Source organism: Homo sapiens, chromosome 6 (assembly GCF_000001405.40).
Source record: "Homo sapiens chromosome 6, GRCh38.p14 Primary Assembly".
Lineage (NCBI taxonomy): Eukaryota > Metazoa > Chordata > Mammalia > Primates > Hominidae > Homo > Homo sapiens.
The window spans coordinates 124275639-124303498 of record NC_000006.12 but is presented as its reverse complement, the minus strand read 5'-3'; the positions used below and the strand labels follow the sequence as shown (position 1 = coordinate 124303498).

Here is a 27860-nt window from a genome sequence, read left to right as displayed (position 1 = left end):
CACATAGCATTCTTGCCTGTTCTCAAGGGTTCTGTTTACTTGTCTCTATAGACCACATAAACTCTTTCCCTGTAGTAAGCCTTGGTTCTGAAGAGTAACAGTGTAGAGATCTACCTGTTTTGCTGCTGCCGAAGACTATGCTTTACATAAGTTCCCCAATAAATCACCCATCACCAACAAACTGGATTTGTTTGCCATGTTCTTTGGTTTCTTGGCTCCTTCCAATTTTGGGGGTCACTTTGCATATATGGTCATTTCATGGAAGATTTTCTGTTTAAAATCTATTTAAAATTAATCATATCATTCTGTATTTTAAAAACTACCAATGGTTGTCTGTAATCTTCACAAGTTGTTTTTTATATTTTGTGCATCTTAAAGTTCTCTAATAGTGTTCAAAATAATAGATCCTCTCTCCTGAAAGATGCACATACATACCCCATCTAATTTTAAATTATTGAATCAGACCAAAGATGCCTGCTTCACAGGCCAAAATATGTCTACATAAAAGGTCCAAATTCCTGCTGCTCTCATTCATAAACTCTGTGCAGAAGCCTGGGAAGTCTTCTAAATATGGTATGCTCTTTCTTGCTGCTTTGCCTCTACATATTTTGATACCTTTCTTAGATTGTTTTCTGCCTGGGAATATACCATGTATTCTTGGTTTCAGCCCAAATTTTATCTTCTCTACAGTGTCTTCATTAATTCATGAGTCAGACATGGATGTTTCTTCTAAGTTTTTTTTTCCAATAATGTACACAAGCTTACTATTTATTTGTTGTGTGAACCCTTTGAAGATAATATTTTATATATTGCATACCTTTTACATACCAAAGTGCCTGGAACATGGCAGATAATTATTTATTTCTGTTTTGCTTTAATTAGTTTTCACCTGAAGATAATATAAGAAACTTAATATGCAAAAATCAAAGATAGGATAGCTTAGTTTAAATAAAATGACCATCCTCCAGATAAAAAAATTTAAAAAACATTACCCATTTTGACATATTAGCATACTCAAAAATTATAAAAACAATATTATAACTGAGGAATGATTAACAAGAAAGTCTTTATTGTAATACTTAAAATGGATAGTCTGTGTCATGGAGGAAAACTTTCAATACTTGTAAAAACCATTTGATACCTAGAAATCTAAGAATCAGATTACTCTATTAGTCTGTTCTCACACAGCTAATAAAGACATACCTGTGAGTGAGTAATTTATAAAGGAAAGAGGTTTAACTGACTCACAGTTTCACATGGCCGGGAGGCCTCATAATCAAGTCAGAAGGTGAAGGAGGAGCAAAGTCACCTCTTACATGACAGCAGGCAAGAGAGCTTGTGCAGGGGAACTCCCATTATAAAAACGTCAGATCTTGTGAGACTTATTCACTACCACCAGAACAGTATGGGGGAAGTGGCCCCCATGATTCAGTTATCTCTGCCTGGCCCCACCCTTGACATGGGGGATTATTACAATTCAAGGTGAGATTTGGGTCGGGACACAGCTAAACCATATCATTCCACCCCAGCCCCTCCCAAAACTCAGGTTCTCATATTTCAAAACCAACATTGCCCCAAAGTGTTAACTCATTTCAGCATTAACTCAAAAGTCCACAGTCCAAAGTCTCATCTGAGGCAATGCAAGTCCCTTCTGCCTATGAGCCTGTAAAATCAAAAGCAAGTTAGGTAAAATGGGCTTATGGGCATTGGGTAAATATGCCCATTCCAAATGAAAGAAATTGGCCAAAATGAAGGGGCTACAGGCCCCATGCAAGTCTGAAATCCAATGAGGCAGTCAAATCTGAAAGCTCCAAAATGATTTCCTTTGACTCCATATCTCACATCCAGGTCATACTGATACAATAGGTGGGTTCTCATTCTTGGGCAGCTCTGACCCTGTGGCTTTGCAGGGTACAGCAGCCCTCCTAGCCGCTTTCAGGGGCTGGTGTTGAGTGTCTGCAGCTTTTCCAGGTACACAGTGCAAGCTGTCAGTGGGTCTACCATTGTGGGGTCTGGAGGATGGTGGCCTTCTTCTCACAGCTCCACTAGGCAGTGCCCCAGTGGGGACAATGTAGGGGCTTCCACCACACATTTCCCTTCTGCACTGCCCTAGCAGAGGTTCCCCACGAGGGTTCTGCGCCTGCAGGACACCTCTACCTGGACATCCAGGCATTTCCATACATCCTCTGAAATCTAGGCAGCAGTTCCTGAACCTCAATTCTTTACTTCTGTGCACCCGTAGGCTCAACACCCCATGGAAGCTGCCAAGGCTTGGGGCTTGCACCCTCTGAAGCCATGGCCCGAGCTGTACCTTGGCCCCTTTTAGCCACAGCTAGAGTGACTAGGATGTAGGGCAGCAAGTCCCTAGGTGGCACACAGGAGAGGGGCCCTGGACTGGGCCAGGAAACCATTTTTGCCTCTGAGGCCTCTGACCCTGTGATGGGAGGGGCTGCTGCAAAGTTCTCTGACATGCCCTGGAGACATTTTCTGCTTTGTCTTGGTGATTAGCATTTGGCTCCTTGTTACTTATGCAAATTTCTGCAGCAGGCTTGAATTTATACCCAGAAAATGGGTTTTTCTTTCCCACTGCAATATCAGGCTGCAAATTTTTCAAATTTTTATGCTCTTCTTTCTCTTGAACACTTTGACACCTAGAAATTTCTTCTGCCAGATACCCTAAATCATCTCTTTCAATTTAAAAGTTTCACAGATCTCTAGGGCAGGGGCAAAATGCCAGTGGTGTCTTTGCTAAAGCATAACAAGAGTTACCTTTGCTCCAGTTCCCAACAAGCTCCTCCTCTCCATCTGAGACCACCTCGGCCTGGACCTTATGGTCCATAAAACTGTCAGTACTTTGATCAAAGCCATTCAACAAGTCTCAAGGAAGTTCCAAACATTCCCACATTTTCTTATCTTCTTCTGAGACTTCTGAACTGTTCCAAACTCTGCCCGTTACCCTGTTCCAAAGTCACTTCCACATTTTCTGGTATCTCTACAGCAGCATCCCACTTTACTGGTACCAATTTACTATATTAGTCTATTGTCAGGCTGCTAGTAAAGACACACCTGAGACTGGGTAATTAATACTGGGAAGAGGTTTAATTGACTCACAGTTCCACATGGCTGGGGAGGTCTCACAATCATGACAGAAGACAATGAGGAGCAAGTCATGTGTTACATGGGTGGCAGCAGGCAAAGAGACAGCTTGTGCAGGAATACTCCCATTTTTAAAACCATGAAATCTTTGAGACTTATTCACTACTATGAGGACAGTATAGGGGAAATGACCTCCATGATTCAATTATCTCCACCTGGCCCCCCCACTTGACACATGGGGATTATTACAATTCAAGATGAGATTTGGGTGGGGACACAGATCAACCATGTAAAGAGGAATTGGGGGTTGGAAAGAATTTTAAATATTCTCTCTCTCAACCATCCTGCCAACATTTGTTGGTGACATTTCCAGGTGATGCTGGGTCACCCAACTCTGCCTCTGGAAAGCTGATTTGAGATATGCCAGTCATACACACAGTAACAACAGAACAAGTTTTGAATCCTCTCTACCATGTGAAATAATGTGAAACATCGCACATACTGGGAAAGAAATGTGAAATAGATTATTCGACAAAGTACAACACTTCATTGTTGTAATCTTCATTGTTAAGTTACACTTTTAAATTGAACATTTCCATACATTTTCGTAGGCAACATTCAGTGAACAATTAAATTCAGTCTAATTAACTTTTGTACTTATTCAGAATAGAAAAATATAGGATAATAGAAAACAGAAGTAGAACTAGAAAAGAAGGGGTAATGTATACTTCAGGGGAAAAATTTGAAGAAAAATCATGGAATTTTGCATATATGCATACTAATATCTATGACGATGTTATTTTTAAGACATAGAAACAACATTTTTTTATCATGTCAAATAAATGTTTTTATCTTCCTTATTGCAATAACAACAATTTACATCATGAATCGTCAAGGAAAGGCTACATTTGGTAATACCACTCTTTAAAAAAAATCATTTTTCTATTTAGAGCAATGATCCGATTTGGAGAAAATGTAGGAAAAATATATCTCAGTGGAAAAACAAACTCTAGAGTCCAGTAACATTCTAAAAGTCCTGAGTTTCTATCAGTTTCAGTCTCCAAATTAGAAGTGATAGGCAATTCGTATAAATCTAAGTGATTTCCAAAGTGAATTTTAGAAATTATGTTTATTACAATTTTGTTTCTGCAGTTTCCTCATATGTGTCTTCTAAGCACTGATATTCTGATATCTCTTACACTGCTGCTGTTTCTGCTGCTGTGGCTGCTGCTTCTTTCTCTTCTTGTCCTTCAGAAAGAAGCCTTGGATTCTCTGAGTAGCAGTAGACTCCCTACAGGCATTTTCCAGATGTAACAGAGCATCAGTGTCTCTTTCTGCCTGCCAGGGCAGTGAATTCCCATGCCTCAAGAATCAATTTGATCTAAAAACATTTAAGTGGATTAAAATGCTTAGTCATTAAATGTAAGATTATTTCTTTACTAAGGACAAAGCCTATCCACAAGCTGCCACACATGGTTACTGTGGAGAGATCCTTGATACATCATTAGCCCTAGGCAGGCTAAAATCACACTGTTCTCTGAGGGCTTCACTCAAGTCCTGTAGCAGCCCTTACATGAAACCATTTGCTGTGCTGTTCTAAAGTGGTTTAATGATAGCATCCCCACTGATAATAGACACGGGGGGTCTTCTCTCCTTCCAAGCATTACCAATTCATGCATTATCTGCTGAGTTCACAGAAGGCAAGAAACTGCTTTTCTGGGATCTTTATCATTCTATATTTAAAATTATATATTATTTATAGTTCTGTTTATCCCAGATGAATGTGTGTGGCATTATCATCTATGCCTGAGTGTAGACAATAACCCACAAAAATAATCCCAAATAAATAGAGCTGTTGACAGGTAAATTATGGAAATAGTGAACAATGGACATTTTGGAACATCTTTAGCGCAGCAGTTTCTCACCACACATGATATTTATCTTGATTTTCAGTGTCAGATTGAAAATGTTTCATTCCTAGTAATTCGAATCATGACAACAAGTAAGGTTTGAAAAAGTAGTGGACTTTTTTCTGCTGAACCATGAAAGTTGAAAATCATAATGGAAACATTAAAAATAGAAAGAGATAAAGAAGAAAACAGGTATATTGCTACACAAAACATGGTTATAGAGATTTGTGAGAAGGCAATACATAAAAAACATTAAAAAAAAGTTCTGCTAAAAGAGTATTGAAACCCTATTCAGAAAAATATTTCAGTAATTTTTTTTATCTCTTAGTTCAGAAATATTTTGACTCCTAGATGAGGTGTTATTGCTATTGAGTTTCAGTAAAACATGGCCAAGGATCATGTTGAAATAGACAAAGAAGTGAAAGTTATTAACATAATAGATAACATTTGAGAGTCTACTTATGCAAGACACATGCTCAATATTTTATATTAACCTTTCATTCCATACTCACAACTGATAACTGATGTGAAGAAGAAACCAAAGTAAAGAGTTTATCTGACTTGTATAAAAGCAGATGCATTAACACATTTCATTGATAGAGTCAGGTTTTTAGCCTCAGATTCTGGGACCTCAACTTCTTATGAAATTTTGAGGGTTTTAGAGAAGAAATGATTTAAATTATGAACAACTGGTGGTTTCTTGCCAAATGCCCGATTTTGTTCCACATAAAAACACGGAGAAAGCCATGGCTTTAAAAATTACTGACAGGGGGCGGGGCCAAGATGGCCGACTCGGAAACAGCTCAGTTCTGAGGCTCTCAAGGAAAAGAACAATAATAAGCATGTGAATCCTTCACCAGCAACCAAGGTAACCAGGTTCTCCATCAGAACTGACTAGAAGGGTGGTATGATCCAGGGAGAGGAAGGAAGAGCAGTATGGTGCTGCAGCCCACCTGAGAGCCACACGGGGCAGGGGGGCCAGTTTCCACCTTTTCTGCCTCTGCCACTCCTGAGACACCAAGACCAACCCTTCTTTTCTTCAGCCTACTCAACATGAAGATGATGAACATAAAGATCTTTATAATGATCCACTTTTACATAATAGTAAATATGTTTTCTGTTCTTATTATTTTCTTAATATTTTCTTTTCTCTAGCTTGATTTGTTGTAAGAATACAGTATATAACACATATCAGAAATGAAATGTTTTAATTAATCCATTGTTTATGTTATCAGTAAGGCTTCCAATAAATAATAGACTATTAGTAGTTAAGATTTGGGGGAGTCAAAACTTATATGCAGATTTTTGACTGTGTGTGGGTCAGCATCCCTAACCCCTATGTTGTTCAAGGATCAACAGTATGTATAACAGTTTTCATAATTTTATGACATACTAGTCATCATGGTAATTCTTATTATCTGGTTTTAATCGTTGTATAGTGAAAGCTGTGTATCATTTATGAGAGAGAAAATGCTCATGGTTCTGCAGACTGTACAGGCATCTGAGAGAAGGAAGCTGCTTCAGTGTCTTAGTGCTGGTTTGACTGATCTAGTCCAAAACACATGCTGAAGGACTTTGTGCCTAAATAGGCACTACTTTTTTTATGTGTGTCCGTGTGTGATGTACAACACTAAAGAAGCAGGCACATCAAGAAGCCCAGTAAAGGTTCTGGGTCTTAATTGAATGCTTTTATCCTAAACAATTCCTATTTCCTTGATTTTAATTGCTCCTAATATCTCTGGGAAAATTTGAAATTAATTTAAAACTACTTCACTGCCCCATAACTTATCCACAGATCACACTTGAAAACATGGAAATAATAGGAATTTTGATGTGGTTCCTTGTATGGAGTCTATGTTCTTTTATCTTTCAAGAATGTTTTGTACACCATTCTCCAACATCTATAATCTGGTTTTCAATGCAATCTTTAAGTATATAAGTTTTACATACCTCATTTTATGAAATTATTGCATGTTTCAAAAGAATATCTGAACTCATAAACATTCTTGTAAATGAAATTATAATGATTTCTGCTTGGACATTTATTTGCATATACCTAGCTACATAAAATGATAAGATGGGGAAAATATTAGAAGCAGTTATGTAAAATAATTTCCATAACTATCGAATAAGGTCATCAAAGATGTTTTGAAATAAAACATAACTGAGAATTTTTTCCTCTAGCAACTCCATTTAGGCCATCATTTCTTGCTTTATAAACCTCAATTTTATACTTTTATTCTGTACATATCCTATTATAACTCAAAGCAAACTAGCATAGAAAAACTGTGTTCATTATACTCTAATATACAAGGAGAAGTGAAAGCTGAGTAGAGGCTTAACCATGAAGAAATTTGCATCCAAGGTGGTGAATGTGAAAGAGAATGCAATTGTGGAGGAATTATACATTATTTAAAGAAAAGAGAAGAGTTACAATTTTTTAAATTTATAATTTTAAAAATAGAATTATGCTGTTCTTTATACATAAACAGTGATGTTATTCATTGAGATAGTCTTTTTTACTATAATGAAGGATGTAGCAATGGTTACAAGAAAAAAGGTATCACCAGATTGACAAATTGGCATATGTTCCCTGAAGTCTCATTTATTTTTAGTATTTTATGGAGAAGAGTAAAGGGGAGTTCAGATTGGGAAGTTGAGTTGGTTAAAAGAAATACAATTTTTGAAAACATTTCCAGGAGCATTATAGATGTTTTAGTTCAGAAAACAATTATATTGTGCCCTGAGAATTGTTTTGATATCCGATATCTGAAAGAAATGTTCTGTCTGGCTTATTGAAATCCATTCACTTTCAACCCTAATGCATCAATAGTAGTAGGGCATAGCAGAGATTACAAATGATACTAATTTCTCCTTAAATAAAATTAGGATTTTGCAAACTGGCTTATGTTTTTTAATCTCCTTCCTAATCGGTGAGTTTCTTCTCCTCACAGCAGCCAGTGTCAGCATTTATTCTATATGATATAAATAAGCAATAATAAAAAGCAGGTTCAAGCCATTATTCTAGACTAACCTGCAGCTATGGGGCTGTTTGTCTTAGTTTTACTAAATTGTCAGCTAAACAACACTATGCTACAAACCTCTCAACGTGTTCACAGAGCTTCTCATGCCTTTGACTAAATTTATTGCATTAAAAGAAGAAAAATAGAATGATAATAGTAAGAAGAAGAAAAGAACAAGGAGAAGGAAAACGACACAAAGGTTTTAGAAGATAGAATGAAAACTATGCCAAATTATAGTTTTGCTCCATGATAAATTCTTAGGTACAAACTACTCTGAAAATGTAACTTTAAGTGTAAATGTAAGCACAGAAACTCCCCATCAAACACTAACCTTTCAAAACAAGAAGAGAATTAAAATAAGACATCTCATAATTCCAATTTTACTGTACTATAATATGGTAGTCGCTTCACTTCCAAGGGAAATCTTTGTGTACACACATATTAAATTTTAAGTGCATGACACTCCCATAAAAATGAATTGTAGATAAAATGAGCTTAATACTTGCAGCCAAACATTTCTTTTACAAAATTCCATAAACATAACTGGTATCTTTAAAAGAAAAAAATATGAAGAAAAAAATGGATTCCGCTGTGTTTCAGAAAATGACAGGTCTAGTCAAACAGAAGTTTAGCTGTGGGGTGTAGATAACATCTTACTGGGCATGGAGTTCCCAGATGAGTCAACATTTCCAAAAACCACTGACAAGACATCTACAAATACAACACAGAGATGACCAGGAAAATGACAACTATTTCCTTAAAGAGTCAGCTGGGCAATCACAAAGCATCTGGCAAATAAAACAATTCATAAAACCTCTGAAGGGTCAGCTTCAGAGTATTGCTTATATACTTGCAAGGAAAGATTTATTTGGAAATAAATACTATAAAGAATATTATACAAAAGGGGTTTTGTAGTAATTACAGCTACCAAAGACTTTCTTTATGCAGTGTCAGTTTTGCTGGTGTGGTCAATGAAAGTCTTTAATCAATTTCAGAATTAACATGAAGCTGAAACCCTTTTGCAGTCAAAACCTTTAAAAATAATTGTTTATAATTATTATTTGACAAACAGACTGTGTGCTATGAATGGATATTGGTAGGTTGGGTCTATCCAAGGTGATTAGGTCATTGAGAGGGATCAATGCTGCTCTTACGGAACTGGGTTAATTCTCAAGGGAATAAGTAAGTTCTCACTCGCTGGGTACTGGATGAGTTACTACTAGAGCAGATTGTTATAAAGTGAGGCTGCCCCTCCTATTTTGCTCCTCTCACATGCTCCCAGTTCCCCTTCTACTTCTCCGCCATTTATGACACAGAACTGGGTTCTCACCAGTAGCTAACCAGACACAGCCACCCTATCATGGACTTCCCAGCCTCTAGTACGTTGAGCTAAAATAAACATTTTTTAAAATAAATAAATAAGCAAATCATCCAATCTCAGGTAGTGTGCTATAGCAACACAAAAAAGACTAAGACATTATACTAAGAAACTCTAAACTAAAAACAATTCATTGATTCACATTATCAGTTTGCTACACTCATTGCCATAAAAATTAGCAAATATCCTGGAAATGGTGCCTACTTGCCTCTTCCCATTATCTTGGAATGAGAGAAAATAGAAAAAAGCAGAAATGAGGTGTTTTGATATTATCTGTCGTCACTTTTCTCTTACGAGATATTAATACATGAAATGAGCAAAAAAGGGTATGCAGAAAAAAGACCAACCCAGTAATATCAAAGAAATTCTAAAAAGAGCAATAGAATTTGAAATAAAACTATGACAATAACATGAAACAAATGCTCTAGAAAATATATGCTCTGATGAAATTTATATCACCAAAATCATTCAAGAAGTGGAAAATTTGAAAAGATCAATTATTGTAGAAAAGATTGGAAAGATAATTAGATAGCTACCATTCATGAAAGTATCAGGACTAGATGGTTTCATAGATTAGTTCTAAGAACATTTGTAGTTCCAATCCTATTTGAATTATTCTATACCACAGAAAAAAGTTTCCCCAATTTATTTTCTTAAGGCCGCATAATTTTAAAAATATTACAAGTAAAAAGCTATAAATTAATTGCATTTTTAATAAGGATGCAAAAAAGTAATTAAAAATAGTAAAAGTTGAATATAGCAATCAAAAAAAAGAATAACATATTACAAACAAATAAGGTATAGTCTAGTAATGGAAAGTTAAATTAATATCAGAACACTTATTAATCTAATTCAATGCATCCAAAAATTTTAAAGAGATATTAGCATACAGCTTCAAAGATATGTAATAAAATATTATTAGCTATTCTTAATAATTGAAGGAAACTACTTAAATATAGTAAAGACCATTTACTGAATACTAATAGCTATAACACAGTAAGCAGACTGCTAAAAAGTCTTCTCATTTAAATTCAGGAAGTTGACTGAGATTTTTGCTATTGCCATTAGATCAACCTAATGCACAAGGAAAGTATCACTAGTTTCAGGATTGAGACAAGGGGTAGATTGTTTTTCTTGTGCACCTATTTAAAGCAATACTTTCAACTAAATCTTCCTAATAAATAAATAAGTGTCATGAGTGTGTTTCTTATAAAATCAGTCAATGTAGTTTAATAACATTAATAAAATACATTACAGTAGTAAAAAAATAAATTAAAACACACTGCCAACATTAAACTGACACAGTATAGGGATGAGAGTCTGCCTAGGATACATTAGGGTCTGGCAGAATGCATGAACCTCTTATCTTGTAAGCAATTCTCCATAAATATCATTTTTCTTAATTGAACTTTTGATAAGTATCAATGTATCAATGTAAAAGGCCTTTAAACCAGAGCAAATCCATCTTGAACAGGAGCTGGGTAAAATGAGGCTGAAACCTATGGGGTTGCCTTCCCCATAGAGTCTCACTCTGTCTCAAAAAAAAAAAAAAGTCATCTGCTCAGCTCTCATTGTTAAAAAGGAAATTACACCAAAGTAAAACATACTTAATGCAATCTAATAGTTATTGTTACACTTTTGGTTCAAAAAGGCAAACTGAGCATACAACAAATATAGTCCTACAACTATTAGTAATAAAACATTAGCAACAAAGAGATTTCAACCAATTGCCTGAAGAGGAAGACAAAGAGATGGATATTGATTAATAAGCAGAATGAAGCAATTGCCAGTCTATAATATGTATGGAGGAGAAAGAGACAAAAAAATGCTGGACTGCTAGGGAGAATTTTGCATGCTCTGGAGACTTGGGTAAGAAACATATGACCAAAGGTCAGTGTGTAAAGTGGGCTGGAAAACAGCAATAACCCTCTACCACTTTTAGAATCAGCCAGGAGTTTATTTCTCTGGGGAAAACAAGGAGATTTTTCATAAATAAATTAAAAACTATAATATAAAATAACTGTTAAATGAAATTACCTGGGGATAGCATAGCAAAGGCAAATGTTGAAAAGCATCAAGAATCATCAAAATGATGCATGCAAATTCCAGAATTGAAGGTGTAGGGAGGTTCAAACTTTCCCTCTGAAGGTTTGACAACTGAGTCTGCTGAAATAAACTGACAATAGATAAACAGGAGACAAGGCATACTCATTATTTAAGCTCATGAGACTCACAGAAAATATAAAACTCAAAGGAGGAGCCAGATGGTTGAGTTTTTATACCATAAAGGAATAGGGGCTTGAGGGCTTTCAGGGGAGGTGGAGAAAAGTTAAGGGAGAGAAAAAAGGAAGAACCACAAGATGAACAAAGGTTGTCGTATTATGCAGATAAAGCTTCTCAGAGCAGCCTCCAGAAGAATAAGTGATAGGCTGTCTGGGTATGCGGATGACATTTAATCTCCTCTCCAGTGATTAATCTTCCCTGGCTGCTTGATGAGATTCCTGCGGAGGGGTTTCAAGACAATTGCATTTCTTTTGGAAGAACTTACCTCAGTTAGACAAGTGAACTTCAGAGAAAGGGACTCCTGGTGCTTTGGGAAAGAGAGGATCTAGAGACAGAGGATGAAGGAAGGTCAGAGAGACCTTGAGGCTACTCTTTTCATTCAAAATTGCCATACATTGAATATGATTTTCTGAGCCACAACAAAGTCTTCTATAAGTGTTTAAATAATAAAAAAAAGACTACACAATTTTTAAATAGGTTCACATTTAGACACGCCATTTTGAAATGCCAAAACAATAATAAAATGAATATCTCAAGCAGTTCTTTGAAAGTTATTTACAGATTGATATCAGACTGGCCATCAGTAACACTGCTTCTTAGATTGTGAACAATTACTTCAGTGTTCTAAGAAAAAAATGATTTTCAACCCTGAATTCTGCACCTGGCCAAACTAGTACTCAAGTGTAAAGGTAGAATAAAGTCATTCTCTGTCATGAGACAGATAAAACTCAGAAAGTTTCTCTCACAAACATGCTTTTCAGGAAGTTGTTTGTAGAATATCAAAGAGATAATAGATGGAATTTAAGAAAGCATGAATCAAATCAGAAGAAGGGAGAGATAGATGTATAATAGGGCTTGAGAACAAACAGTTGACATCGGAGTAAAATGACAAGAGTACTAAGAGAAATCTCCAGGGAAGAAGAACATTGCATTAAAAACAAAAAGCTACAGATAGTGATGGTCAAATATAAACGGACTGGATAATTCAAATAGTAAAGCAGTGGATTTCAAGAATTAAAACAGAATGAATATCAAGCAATAGAATGCACATGAATTGGAAATGTATTTAGGATACACTTAAGCAAGGCCTGTTTTGTTTCTTACAAAAAAAAAAAAAGCAATCAGAAACTTCAGAGGGGAAAGAAAACCTGTAAAAACAACGTATAATTCAAAAACAAATTAGACCAAATGATTTGGGGCAGGTCGTTATTAGACACTGTCTAAAGCTGAAAAATCAACAATTAGCAACACAGACGCACACACACACACACACACACACACACACACACACACACACATTTCTGAGGTAACCCCAGAAGAACTATAAAGAGATGAGGAACAGCTGGAGAAGAGTATGGAAAGGAAGTTTTATTTTATTATAAGCCCAATTTTACTTTTTGATTAAAAAAACTACATAATCTGATTTTTTTATTTTAGAAAAAGAAACTAATACTTAAACATATCACAATATATCTTTTCTTCAAAATTCATTTTCAAAAATTATTAGATGATTTAAAAAAGTGAATCTAGACTGTCAAATGTAATTATTTATATGTACCACATCCTATAAATCTTTAGTCATAGTCTAACACCAAAATGAGGGCACAAAGTATCTTCTTGTAGAATAAATGGTCCACATTTCCCCAAGGGAACACATTCTTTTGAGAATAAATTGCATTTGCAATGTTGCATTATTACATTTATTTTAGGACTACAGGCTAAATCCATTAAACTTGTAATGATGTTTTTTTTTGTTTTCTCCCTCCCTTCCAGGCTTATGGGAAAAGACTTATTTTCACAACTACTCTAAAGTCATTAGAAGTATTGTTAATTTACTAGTATCTCAAGTCTCTTCATCTCTAATCTACATTGATTTTCTGTCCTCAACACAGAAAGCATGCATTTGTTAATGCTTTAGCTGCAATAAGTTTCCTTTCAGATATTTTTTTCTCCTAGAAAAATTGAATAAAGGTGGCAAAACAACTACTTGAACATAGATTAATGACTTCTTAGAAATGACTTGTAGGAGTGCAAAAATTTTTAGGGAGGTAACATTTATTAGTTTTAGAAAAACATATGACCTGGAAAATGGAGACAGTGCTCCTGATTTATTGTTGTTGGTGATAGTCTCTATGGAGACCTGAGCTCCATGGACAATTAAAAATCAAATCACGGCAATTATCAGCAAATAGTAAATTCTAGAAATTTAGAGGATTTTTCCCCCATGCAAATTGAGTATGCGATTCTTTACTTATACAGAACCACTAAGGTGTCTATAGATTTCTCAAGTTGCTGTGTCGTAATCTTTTTACAAAATGAATCCTGTCTTTGTCTCTGGTGCTCCAGTCACCCTGTGGCCCCATGCTTTGGCCAGGATGCCATGGGGATCCTTTACCATGTTGGCTCTAGAAAAAGCAAAGTTAAGGAAGTCAAAGCAGGTGACACTTTGTCTGAAGCTGACCTTGCCTCACTGGGGAGAAGGAGGATGTACATCAATCTAGAAACCAACAGCCACCAACTACCATATGTATCACGTTAAAAAAAATGTAGTAAAACAAAAAGTGGCCTAAATTGGTGAACAGAAGTTCAGTGTTCAGCATTAATCAGAAAATACCATTCAAAACTTTAAAATGCAGACTAAAAGAAATATTTACTTTTTTATTATTTTGGAAGAGTAAGCAGGGTTATTATGACAGTCTTAGAGTTTACAATTCTTAGAACACAAGAAATGAAGATTCATGTGTATTGGCTTCTCTTTCTAACCATCATTTGATGACTTGCTTCATCAAATCAGCTTTAAACACATTAATTTCATCTCTTGCTTTTTCAGTAACAAAACAGGAAACCAATCCCAATATTTCTCCTTCATTTGATTTTAGAATTAGTTATTGTAGTCTAACTTGGTGTCATAGAAAGATTCTTCATTAGGCATAATGATATGTATGTATGTATGTCTATATTGGTGTTTCCTAGGTCTTTTGTATTTCCAATATGTTTTGAGTATTTTATTCAATTACATAGAAATAAATTCTCCCATCAATTATTTGAAACTCTTTACAAATAGCAAATGTAGAAATAGATCATTTGTCCTTATTTAACATATAATTATAATGGATATTAGATATAACTTATATTGTATAGATGAATGTGTACATATGCATATATGTAAAATCACCATCAAAAAGCTGGGTGCTATAGAAAAAGAATAACATGCCATTCTAATTCACTGTTACTAGAGATTAAAGATAGTTTGTGTTATTGTTTTCCCGCATGAATAAAATATCCATCACTAAGAGTTTTCTGTTCTAAACTCTTGAAACATGAGGTTATTTCTCCATTAACTAAGGAGTTAAAAACATAATCCTTGATATGGGAGAGGCAGACCACAACTTAAAATCTAAATCCTCTGGAAATCACAAATGCTGTAATGAATTTTAAATTTGCCCACAACTTAACAGCACCTTTGTTCATTTATCAGACAGATTTGGGTCTCTGAACTGTGCCTCTAAGAGGCAGTTCACTGTGGTGGTTACAAGGACAGACTGGTTGTCAGGAGAACCTGTGTCAACCTCCTAACTCTACTATTTCCTTTCCATATGAGTTTGAACAAAAGTTGTGTCAAGTTAATGTGAGGGTTATAGAATTTATGAAGAAAGGTAGATATACAGGAGAATCAGTGATGGAATTGGTAAGAAACAAGAAATTATTCTTACAAATATTACTGTTATTTTAGTATACTATCCTCTATAAAATCTGAGTAATAGATTTTCAGCTATTTTGAAACTTTTTTTTTCTAGTTTGGAGACTGAGTTTGGAAGAAAGGAAAGAAGGAAGGAAGAAAGGGAGAGGGGGGGAGAAATAATTTATTTTTGGCATGTTACACAGCAACATTTGTTTTTGGCAATATCACTGAGAAAGTTGCTATGGCTTTAATGGATAGGAACCTACATATTCCTCAGATTATTTTAGATAATCTAAAGCAGCTCCTTAGCGCCAGTGCAGCTCCTTAACATTATTTTATCATTAACTTATAAACACTGGATATCTCAGATCACATTCTACTTCCCCAAATGATGATGCATTATATAATTCCATTTATGATGTAAAATAATGCTTTCCTGGGAGCCATTGTATATATTTATTTATGAATTATTTTCTGGGATTTGATGTGATTGAGATACAAGATTGATTCTTTCTATGAATTCTGGCTTCAGGTTTCCTTTGCTTGGACCTGAAAACATCTATTTCATTTTCCTTCAGCATACTATATTCTGCAAAGTGACAGAAGCTCTCTATGGCACTAATGAGTTCTTGTTCCAATTATCTGTTTTAAGTTTTTAATCTTTTTTTCTTTGCTACTATGAAAAAGAAGATGAATGAAGAAAACAAAAATCATTACCAATACTCTCATTTATTTGTTGCTACAAGCTCAATGGTTTGAAGAATGTCCACATACTTTTTTGTGTGGGAGGCAAGATCAATTAAATAAAATGTCCCATCAATAATTTGAAGCTCTTCAAATATAGCAAATGCCCTCAGTCTCAATATCAGAAAACCTGCCTTTTTGTTTTGGTAAAATTAGACATAAGGATAATGAAGACTTATCTTTTTCAAAATGGTATTTGAATTTCATAATCTTAAAAGCAGCAGAAAATATCACAAGTTGAAAGAGAGTTAACTGTAATAAGATAGACATACTAAGTATCAAAAGGAAGCTTTATGATGTTTTAAAGGTAAATGTCTTTATTAAATTATCTACATAAATTAAGATAAACACTAAGACTGCAGGGTAAAAAATTAGCAAAGAAGACCAAAAGACAAATCCCTGGCCGGGCACAATGGCTTACACCTGTAATCTCAGCACTTTGGGAGGCCAAGGTGGGCGGATCATGAGGTCAGGAGTTCGAGACCAGCCTGGCTAACATGGTGAAACCTCGTCTCTACTGAAAAAATACAAAAATGAGCCGGGCATGATGGCACACGCCTGTAGTCCCAGCTACTTGGGAGGCTGAGGCAGGAGAATTGCTTGAACCTGGGAGGTGGAGTTTGCAGTGAGCGGAGACCGTACCATTGCACTCCAGCCTGGGCAGCAAGAACGAAACTTATCTCACACACACACACACACACGCGCGCGCACACACACACACACACACACACACACACACAATTTTCCAAACAGAAAACAAAAATGGGTAATGAACATACGAAAAATTCTAACTCACTACGATTAGAAATACAATTAAAAATGAAAATAACATTTTTTCTTCTATCAAATTAACAACTATGAGAACAGATAATACACAGGGTTAGCAAGAGTGCAGTGAAATCAACTCTGCTGTACACTGGTAAGAGGATAATTCAGTAAAATAATTTTGGATAGGTTATTATTAATTATATAGTAAAAGCCTTAAAATTGTTCATATTATTTGATTATACCTAGGTATTTCTCCTAAGGAATGATTCACAAAAAAAGACGAGAGTATTTTTGTTGGAAATGATTATAGGGAATTATTTAATATAATAGAAAAATATGAAAATAGCATAATGTATAACATTAAAGGCTTAAAGAAACAATGAAATAGTCATGTTAATTTTTAAATTGTTTGATATAATGTTCAATTTAAAATTAAGACATACTTGGATATATAGCATACACAGACATGTTTCATTTGTATGTACACAAAGGAAATACGCAAAATGTTAATCTTCAGTCATGAAGTCGAGAAATGCTTTCTTATTTTTGTATCAAATTATTTTATATTTTATGTCAAGCTATTTTATAATGTAAAAATATTACAGAGAAAATATGGCAAATATAAAAATTATAAAGGTCTACATTGCTAGAGGATGAAGACCTTTACAATGATCCTTTTCCATTTAATCAATAATAAATATATTTTCCTTATGATTTCCTTTAATAACATTTTCTTTTCTTTAGCTTGCACTATTGCAAGAATACAGCATATAACACATAAAACATATTAAATATGTGTTAATCAACTGTTTATCAGTAAGGTTTTCAACCAATAGTAGGCTATTGGAGTTAAGTTTTTGAGGAGTAGAAAGTTATAAGCAGATTTTTGGCTGTGTGGGGGGTTTGGTGCCCTTAATCCTCACACTGTTCAAGGGTCAACTGTAGTTTGTTGCACAGAAGTTACACAGACATAGATACCTGAACAGATATTGGTACCAGAAAGTCAGTGATACTTAAACCTAAAACACACAGTACTGGTTTTGAGATAAGGAGGCAAATGACACCAGGAGGGCAGCAAGGAGACTCTGAGTGGAGAGAGGAAATTGTTTTTGAGGACTGGAGAAAAGAAGACTCATGGAATTTACTGCCAGAACAATTATCTTAGCTATTGTCTTCAATAACTGGAAAGATAGAAAATATGCCTATGAGTTTATGGGTCTGGTTAAGGGGATTTCCAAGCAAAAAAAAGATGACAGTGCTATTTGTTATCTTTTAGCCACAGACAGCATGATATTGTAAGAGAGAAATGAGCTAAAGAAAGATTTTCAAGCAGAATTTAGAGGATATATTTCTAACCCAGGACTTGCTGAGTTGGAAAAAAAAGTTTATCATTTACATCATCTCCAGCCGGCAAAAGATTTCCAAAGACATTGTCTCAGGGAAAAATCCAAATGCACAGTGATGTTACCAGTCAAGATGAAATCAAGGCTCTGAAATTCATTGTTAAGACCTTAAAAAGAGTTCAGGTTGTGTCTAATAGCCTCAGAAAACAAAACTTCTAACAATGTTAAAGGTGTTTTCCCTTGGCATCATAACTCTTATCCCATGCCAGAGAAAGTAGCCAGTAGTGAAAGATCTGTGGTACGTCTTTATTCAAAAGGATGAGATAATAATTTGATACATAGAAAGCCCAAATTTTTTTTTTTTGCATTGTAGCATCTTAGGATAAAAGGGACAGAAATAGTTCATCCAACATCTAGAACACCTTGCTCTATTTTAAATTTCCTTTCAGCCTATTGCTATGTTACACAGGTTAGTATTATTTTTAAATAATAATAATTAAAAACAAAAATATTATAGCTAATATTTATTGGGGGCTTTTTAAATATCAAGCACGGTGCTAGGGACTTTTCATAGAACATCCCCTTTAGTCCTCAAAATTAACCTCTGAGTTTTTAAATAGTTCAAATATTTTGGGTCACATCTAGATTTTATCCCAAGAACTTTATCAGAAATAAAGATGAAATATTTACATAATGATATTCAGAGCAACCATTATTTATAAGAATAAAACCATGAAGGAACCTCAAAGTCTAATAAAAAAAGAATGGTAAGTTAAATTTTTTTCATATAATGGCTAATATATATCAATTAATTAAATCATTATGAGTTAATGTAATGACTACTTTCATTTTAAAGATAAGAAAATTAAAGATTGGTGAGGTGAAGTTATCTAAAGTCACACAGAATTTGGCAGATCGAAGATTCCAATCTTGATATTATGACTTCAGAGGACTCACTCTCAACCACTGTACAACCCGCCCTACACTGTATCAAATTACGATTCATAAAAGAAAATGGACAATACTATCATATCTTGTGCATTAAAAAACTTCACCCTGCAACAGAACTCCTCCCACTTTTACAAGATTTAGATGGCTACCTAGCCTCTGCAGTGACATGCACTGGAGGCTGGGCATGCACCTGGAGGCGAGGACTGTGGGCTTCTCATTCTTCCTTGGTTCCAGCCACCACCACATTGCCTGGCTGTACCAATGAGCTTTATCTGGGTTCTAGATGATGGAGAGAACAGGTCATGGGGGGGCATCTTTAATGAGGACGCTTTCATAAAACATGAGAAGGGCTGCTGGTTTGTGTTGAACAAGGCAGAGCTTTCACGGTACTATCTTATATACATGCTTTTACTACAAACCTGCTTTACAATTTTAAATAAATGCCTATAGACATTTCCTTTGTCAAAAATAGAAGAAATAGAAAAAATGATGAAACTAAAAAGAAAAAAATGTACATTAATGAAGAGCAGTAGCTGAGATCTGAGGCACATACAAAAGTTTAAAAAAAAGCAACCCTGAGTTATGGTTCCCATAGTAACTGAAACACAGTTGGATTTCACTTTTATGTTAAGTAAGTTTAACTTGAGTGGGAATGCAAAATACTTCCTTCAAGCCAAAAAGAGAATTATGGAGAACACAGAGGCAACTGTCCAGATTATTCTGGCTTTCTCATACGCCAAATATTAGCCCTAATGTGGTTAATATTTTCACATCAATAGTATATGTTCATTCCTATTGATTTTAAACTCTTTATTCAATGTATAAAATATGATTATTTAAAATGAGAAAAAATTTCCATTAAAATCTGTCAAACCAGAAAGCATGACTTTATAATGTAGAAACATAGAAACACAGTTTGGCTTGTAATTATGAGACTATTCGCTGAAAGTACAAATTATGAGAATTCAGTCTGATCACACTCACTATCAAGTGCCTTAAACCTGACATTTTCAATTACTGTTGATGGAATCTGAAACTATGAAAATAAACACATGGTACTTAAAAGAGAGTATCCACATCTTTAAGATAGATTATACACATAAGTTTTCAAGGCATTTGGAGTTTGCACATCATTCTCTAGTTCAATAAGATTTTTAAAAGGCAGAAAATGTACTTACTCCTGTTATGTAACGAGGTCTATATTGAATAGTTCCAAACAAACCAAGAATGACGATAATAATATGTACAAAATTTGCCAGGATAGGTGCCCACTGATATCCAAGGAAGTCAAATATTTGCCTCTCCAGCACACAAACCTAGAATAGCAAAACAGGATGGACAGATCAGCATGTGAGAAACAGCACAGTGGTGAGAGGAAAAAAGGATAAAATTATTAATAACATAATTAGCACTTATAACTGTGTTACCATATCTGGCATTTGTCTTTAACTAACAGCGAGAATGACATTTTCAGTTATTTCAAAGGAACACTATGGAATCTGTGGATCTATAGACACCTACAAGCCTTTCAGGGATGATTTTGTGGAGGAATCAAGCAGTATTCACAAGATGTCATCTTTGCAGTCATAGGATAAATTATATTGTCATGTGCACTGTCAAACATTTGAAGTCATCAACCAGCAAGTCAGGGAAGTCCACATAAAGAGTTTGTTGCTAGATCTGTTCAAACGTCATTATATAAGTTGAGAATAGAACAAAGGAAGTTTGATGTGGAGGAAAAAGAAATCTTTAGCAAGAGTTGTAGCAAGAACCCTTTAGCAAGACAAAGATTTCTGAACGTGAGTCTGCCACTAAGTAGCCGCAGTGGCCTACGCAAGTCATTTCCCTTCTCTGGGTGCTGGCCCTCGTCTGTGAAATGAAGGACTTTGACGAGGTGTGTAGGGTCCTTCTAGTTCTAATAGTGTTGTATTATAGATCAAATATGATGTTTTGTCATACCTGGCTACCAGGTAAAAGAAGGGCCCTAAAAGAAAATTAGAACAATGGAAAACAAACACAAAAATCAAGCATCACTGTTATAAAAGCAAGACACTTAAGTCGATTTAAATTATACTATTTTCATCTGTGTTCACAACTATAATTAAGACATATAAAAATCTAAGCAGTGAGAGGAGAAAAACAAAACCAACCAACTAACCAAAAATAACAACAAACTGAGATTAGTGGGTAGTCCGGAAGTACCATTTTACATCCCAAAGTGAGATCTAGGAAGCTAGCAAGATCTCATCAGATCCAACAAAGTAAAGCAGAATGTTGGCTTTATTCTTCCTGCCTGCCCTCAGGGGGGATGATAATAAACTCTCTGTTCAGAGAAAAACATTGTAAAAGGACTTGATGCTCCATACCAAGATTCAATATTTTATTCAGCCAGGTTTTCAAGGAAAATGATGATTTTAAAATCCCTAAGTTCCTAACATCACTATGCTTTAATGATATTTCTTTTCAGAAGGAAATACTGACTCTCAAAACAGGCAATGTGCTTTTAAATTAAATATCTGTAGCTCAGTTTGAAGACATCTTGAATGATCATTATTCCTACTGCAGTTCTTTAGCTGAGTAGCACGTTTTCCCATCAGGCATTGAAAGAGAAAATAAATTCATGACACCTCTATTTTCTAAGGCACACTGGGCACCATGTAATGGTTGTAGCAGTCACAGTCCAACTTAGTCAAATCGTAATTCTCATTGCATCTTCGCCATAATTAAAAAAACAAAAGAACCTTGATTTGTTATACCCTGTGCTAAAGCCATGATACTCATCAGAGTCTCAATAGTGGAATGCAATATTCTTACTCCTTAATAAACACAGACTGTCATAGGACTGGAATATCACTTAAGCTTTATAAACCTGAATTGTCTTCTGATGAGCCATTCCTTCAACTTTCTCATATAGTTAACGTTTTGTAGAAATGAGACCCATTTGTGACATTAGGCAGTATTACATATGCGAAGTTAGAATCTGTGAATGGTATCAAAAACTAAGTAGTTGTTCTGAGAACATGATTGCTAATTTTCTGTGTAAAAGTTCATTTCAACATAGAACCCTCTCCGCCTTATTTTATGAATAAATAGTGAATAGGAATGTAAACCAACAGCAAGAAACATCTAAACTCTATAAATTTGGAGCATCATAACTGTGGGGACACAGCAGGGCAAACGTATAGAGGATGAAACACATCAGTCTAACAGTGGGAAATATCTCAATAAATGCACCAATTATGAAAGAAAATAGCAGTCCTATTAATTATAAAAAATATAGAGATGATAATGTAATAACTAAGTCTGTAAAACTGAAGTGAAATTATGTCAACATTTATTGGGTTCTTGTTATGGCACAACCAATTGTTTCTTACTTACAAGTTTGTGCAGACTGAACAAGCTAATCTGTAATTCTTTGCATATAATATTTCTGCCTTTTTCCCCTTTTTGATTAGCCCTATTAGGGATCATAAGTAGCATTATCATATGTTCTGTAATTTAAGATAGGCCTGAAAAATGCAAGATTGTCTGAAAAGTTCAGTAAGTGTAAGGGTTATAATATGTGTAGGAGTAGCTGCAGTCTTTCCTATGAATTCCTTCCCACAGGAAGACTATTAACTATGAGGGGCCTGTATAGTGGACCTGGGAGTGCAGGGATGGAGAGAGCACATATTTGTTAGAACACCTACTGTATGCTGGGGCTTTATGCTTTTCTCCAGGCATGTATTATCACATTGATTCTACACAAAACCAAGGGAGGTAAATAGGATTGTCCCATTTTGCAGATTAAGGAATCCAAGCTGTGGTGTGCTAAGTGATTATCTTGAAGTTACAGAAGAGGTAAGTAGTAGAACAGGAATTTGGGCTTCTGTGCATGGCCCCTTTGCTATGCCCTTACCTTTTCTATTTACTCCACACTTAGTCCAAAAACAAATAGATTTTGTTTTTGTTGGTTATATAGTAGAGACCATGCTGATTATATAATATATGCTACTTCATAGAATCTCTCTGATCATACTTGTCAGTTCATGACATTATATCATCATTGGTTAAGACAAAGCTCCTTTTTTGTTTAGTTTAGGTTAGTTTTTCCCTCTTTTAACCCATCTCAGTGTTAATCTGATTTTGCCCATGGGGACCTCTTTAATGTATTTACTTTTGGTCCTTGTAATCATCTGACATAGAAATGTATGTATTTGGCCTAGCAAAATACATGCTGCTGTTTATGTGTTATTTTCACATAAGAAGTCTTATGGTGTACATCCCTTTCATGCTTGCCTATTTTCCTGTATATAAATTTTGGTTCCTTGTGTTTGGCTTGCACAGATCACAACATTATTAACGCATAATTTGGTTGCTTTCAATTCTTTGCTACCACAAAGAATTATCTTCCCTTCCATTACTATCTTTATGAAGTTTTTATTTGTAACATCAATAGTGACTAATCTTTATCAGTTATTATTTCTGCATCTATTGAGATAATCACATTATTTTTTTTCTTTTATACAATGAATGTGATGGATTAGATTGAGTATTCGATCAATATCCTTTTGTCATTATCCTTTTATATCTAGTAAAATCCCTACTTGGGATGGCATATCATTTTTAGCACATTTTTAGTTTGGATTAAATTTTACTTATAAAATTTAAACAAAATAAAATTTTATTTGGGATTTTTGTATCTATAAACTGACCTACAGTTCAATTTCTTTTTCTCTCTTTTTCTGACACTGTTATAAAGGTTACACTGGCCTCAAACCATAAGTAAGACACAAATTTTATTTACAACTCTTTTTTTTTTTTTTTTTTTGAGATGGAATCTTGCTTTGTTGTCCAGGCTGGATGGAGTGCAGTGGTGTGATCTCGGCTCACTGCAAGCTCTGCCTCCCAGGTTCACGCCATTCTCCTGCCTCAGCCTCCCAAGTAGCTGGGACTACAGGTGCCCGCCACCACACCTGGCTAATTTTTTGTCTTTTTAGTAGAGACGGGGTTTCACCGTGTTAGCCAGGATGGTCTCGATTTCCTGACCTCATGATCGGCCCACGTCGGCCTCCCAAAGTGCTGAGAGTACAGGTGTGAGCCACTGCACCTGGCCAAAACTCTTAATAAACGTAGAGAAAACCATCCAGTCACATTAACTTTCCCCAAAGGCAATTTGTGTGAATTTGGGGAGCTACTGCTAACTGCATAGCTGTTCAGTAAAATATTGTATGTAGATGGAGCATATAGGCATATATCTGTCATGTATGTGTAAAAATTTTTCAAATTATTTTTATTTACAAAATGGATTGCAATGTAGTTGTGTGTTTTCACCTTGTGTTTCTCACTTAGTGATGTGTCATGAGGTTTTTATACATTAGCACATGCTGCATTAATAGATCTACCTCATTATATCCTTATTAAGGCATTGCATTTTAATAAATCTTTAATTCATTTCCAGTTTTTGGCTATAACATCCATAAGTGCATTATAGAATCTTCTGTATGTGTGTTAATATAGCCATAGGACAAACTCCCCAAAATAGAAATGTTGGGTCAATTCTGGTTGCTAAATCCCAAATATTATATAACAGGTTTTATTAATTCTTTGTGCTATATATATATTTCATGTTTTCCAGCTCATATAATAGCATATATATATATATATATATATATATATATATATATATATGAGCTATGTATATGTGTGTTTGTGTGTGTATGTACGTGTGTGTATGTATATATATATGTATATAAGCTATTATATGAGCTGGAAAACATGAAGATTACCCTTTTCGTTGCACCATAGTAAATGTTAATTTTAATGGTAATTGTTAATATAGCAGAGTATGCTTAAGCTGAAAAAGTTTTCAAAACCTTTGTGATAAGTGCTATTAAGGACAAATTGTCTTACTTTCCATGACAATAAATGTTCATCAGAAGCATCTGTAAAATGTCTTCAAGATAAATAAATTTATTGACTTTTTACTCCATACTCCTCAATTTACACATGAGAAAACTGGGCCCAATTAAGTTCATACTTTGTTAAACTAAGCTTTACCTCTTCATAGGAGAGGATTTAGTCTGAAACAGGTTTGCTTCAAATGTTTGCAAGGCAAAAGGGAAGCCTTTGTACTGGTTAGGCATCTATTGCTATTCAACTTTAATAACAAGAAAATTACATGCACTTGAACATATTTTTTAAAAGGCCAAAATGACATTTTTCCAGGTAGTTTTCCTCAACTGGTAAGACCTGTAATTGGTCTCCTTAAGAAATTGCATTTTGTTCATAACTAATATTTCTTAATCAAATTTTCTTCCAAATATTACTATAATATTATTTTTATGTCCTTAAAACTTAACCTGATATTGAAACAAATAATATAAAATAAAACTTATATGTAGATTTTGAGAGAAAAAATGGGCTTTTGAAACTATGATGATGAAACAGAGTTTTTTTTTTAAGGTGTGTTATTAAAGGCTGTAAACAACCAAATTATGTTTCTAGTGCTAAATTATAAATGGAAATTAAACTTATCTATGGATATCCCTGTTCTCCTCTCTGTACCTCTTCCCCCTTAAGTGTCTCCAGGTCCCTTCAAGAATCTGAGCTTTCAGATTGACTCAACTCTCAAGTTTTTGAAGAAAGAGAGAAGACAGACTCAGATTTCAGTGTTAGGCCAAGTAGAGTGCTCCCCTCCAAAGTCTATTTGCATTGACAAAGTGGACTTCAAGGAACTAACAAACTTGTCAAAAGTTAATACAATTCCAGGAATCAACAAAGAAATGATTTTCATTTCAGTTGTTTGCAGGGGAATATAACTTACCTAACAAGTAAAATTAGCCTGTTATAGCATCTTACACAGACACACACACACACAGATACACACACACACACACACACACACACACACGACACACAGACACATACTACTAGGGAAAATCCAAGATGGAAATTAAAAGGGGCCTAACAGTTTCTAGGTTGAGTCCAAAGTCTTATTTCATCTGTAGGTACCATTAAAGTTTAGATAAACTTCCAGCCTAACCTACAGAATGGCCATGTGTTGGTCATACTTTTGTCAATAAAAGTTGCTGCTAACATTCGTTTGTTTGTTTTTACATTCCAGTCAAGTATGGCTAATTTCTAGTTTCCAGTAGCATCCACTCTTTGTTTCCTGCCCCACAGAGATCTTAAAACAACATTAAATGAGATGTAGAAAGTTTGAATACTACGTCCTTGATTCATGTAAAATTTTGTTCCTTCAGCAGGAAACCCTTGCCCTGTGATTTTGCCTTGGATTCAGGTTTCCCCTGTGCCCAACTTCTCAGTACAGTATTTCTGTTTCCTTGTTGTCTGCTCACTTTGGTAAAGCTGCTAATTTTGCGTTAACCTTGATGTCTAGGTTTACTCTGCCCTTTGCTGGATGTTGCCACACTAGAGCTCATCTCCATTCCTATTGCTTAATTCGTTTGTAGTCCTAAGTAAACTGTAGTCTTGAGCACGCTCTGGGCCTGTCTGCTCCAGAGTCAGAAAGGATGCCCATGTTGGTTTCTCTAATTTTAAGCCAATGACCAAGAAAGTTGTAAAGACTTTAAAGATATTCTAGGTCTTTATAATATTGTTGAGCTGCTGTGCTCTTTACAAGATTGCCTAAAATATCACAATATCACAAAGCAAAACTCTACAAATATTATTGATAGTGTTCTCCTTTTAAGATTCTCTGTGTTGTTCGTAGTGGACAAGATCAATGAGAACATATGTGCTGGCTTTTAAACATTATATGCAAGAGATATACTAGATATAATTTTGTTTTATCTTACCAAGAGATCGGATTCACATATAAAATGAAGAGGATAAACTTGAAGTTGAGTCTGCAATGATTATACATGTAAAATAGGAGCAAAGATAAAGGACAAACCACAGAGCTTTACTTAAAGAGTTTTAGTTACATTTGAATAACTAAAGTATCTCAAATGCATGTGTATATATGTGTACATACTTGTTAGGATGGTGTGTATGTGTGTGTGTGTGTGTGTGTGTGTGTGTGTTCACCAAGGGGAAGAAAATAAAATTGTTAGGTATTACTAAAAATAATAATTTATCCTAATTTAGTAGAACTAAGAATTGTCTGCCTTTTTCCATATAATGGTTTTTCTTTAAAAAGAAAAACAAAAAACAAAACCAAAAAAATTAAGGAAATAAATCACCACCGCCACCACAACGAAACACCACCAAAAAGAGACTTGGCCCTAATTGCTCTGATTACACGAGAAGTCAGCATATCATGGTGGTTCAGACTTCAAGTTTTAGAATTGGAAAATCATGTTTGAATTCTAACCACTATGTGACTACAGGCGGCCCACTAATCTCTATGAATCCCAGTTTCTTCATCTACAATATGGGGATGTTATAATACATAAGTCCTAAGATTTTCATGAAAATTAGAGTGATAATGTACATACATTAGTTATTAAGATGCCTGGATTGCATCTTAAAATGGATGCTATTATTAATTATTTTATATTTCAATACAAATTTGAAATCATGTTTTAGTGCATTATCATTCTATATTTGTGTTCTTGCCAGACTATTTCAGTTAGAGATGTTCAAATGTTTCTTATTCTATTGGTTACAAATGCAAATAATACCATGACAAATATTCCTAAATAACCTCAAGTATTTGGAGGGGGTCTTTCTTGAGAA

General features: G+C 34.8%; 1 protein-coding gene across 9 annotated transcripts in view; it reads right to left on the bottom strand.

Moving 5' to 3' along the window:
- The window catches only part of NKAIN2 (sodium/potassium transporting ATPase interacting 2), a 1021776-nt gene that overhangs the window by 522142 nt on the left and 471774 nt on the right, over nt 1–27860 (bottom strand). For all 9 annotated transcript variants that reach the window (XR_007059213.1, XR_007059215.1, XR_007059214.1 and 6 more), the window contains one exon: nt 20357–20494. Coding sequence is in view for 4 of the 9 variants with exons in the window: in NM_001300737.2 (NP_001287666.1) it covers nt 20357–20494 (138 nt within the window). In the remaining 5 variants the exon portion in view is untranslated. The remainder of the gene's footprint in view (nt 1–20356; nt 20495–27860) is intronic.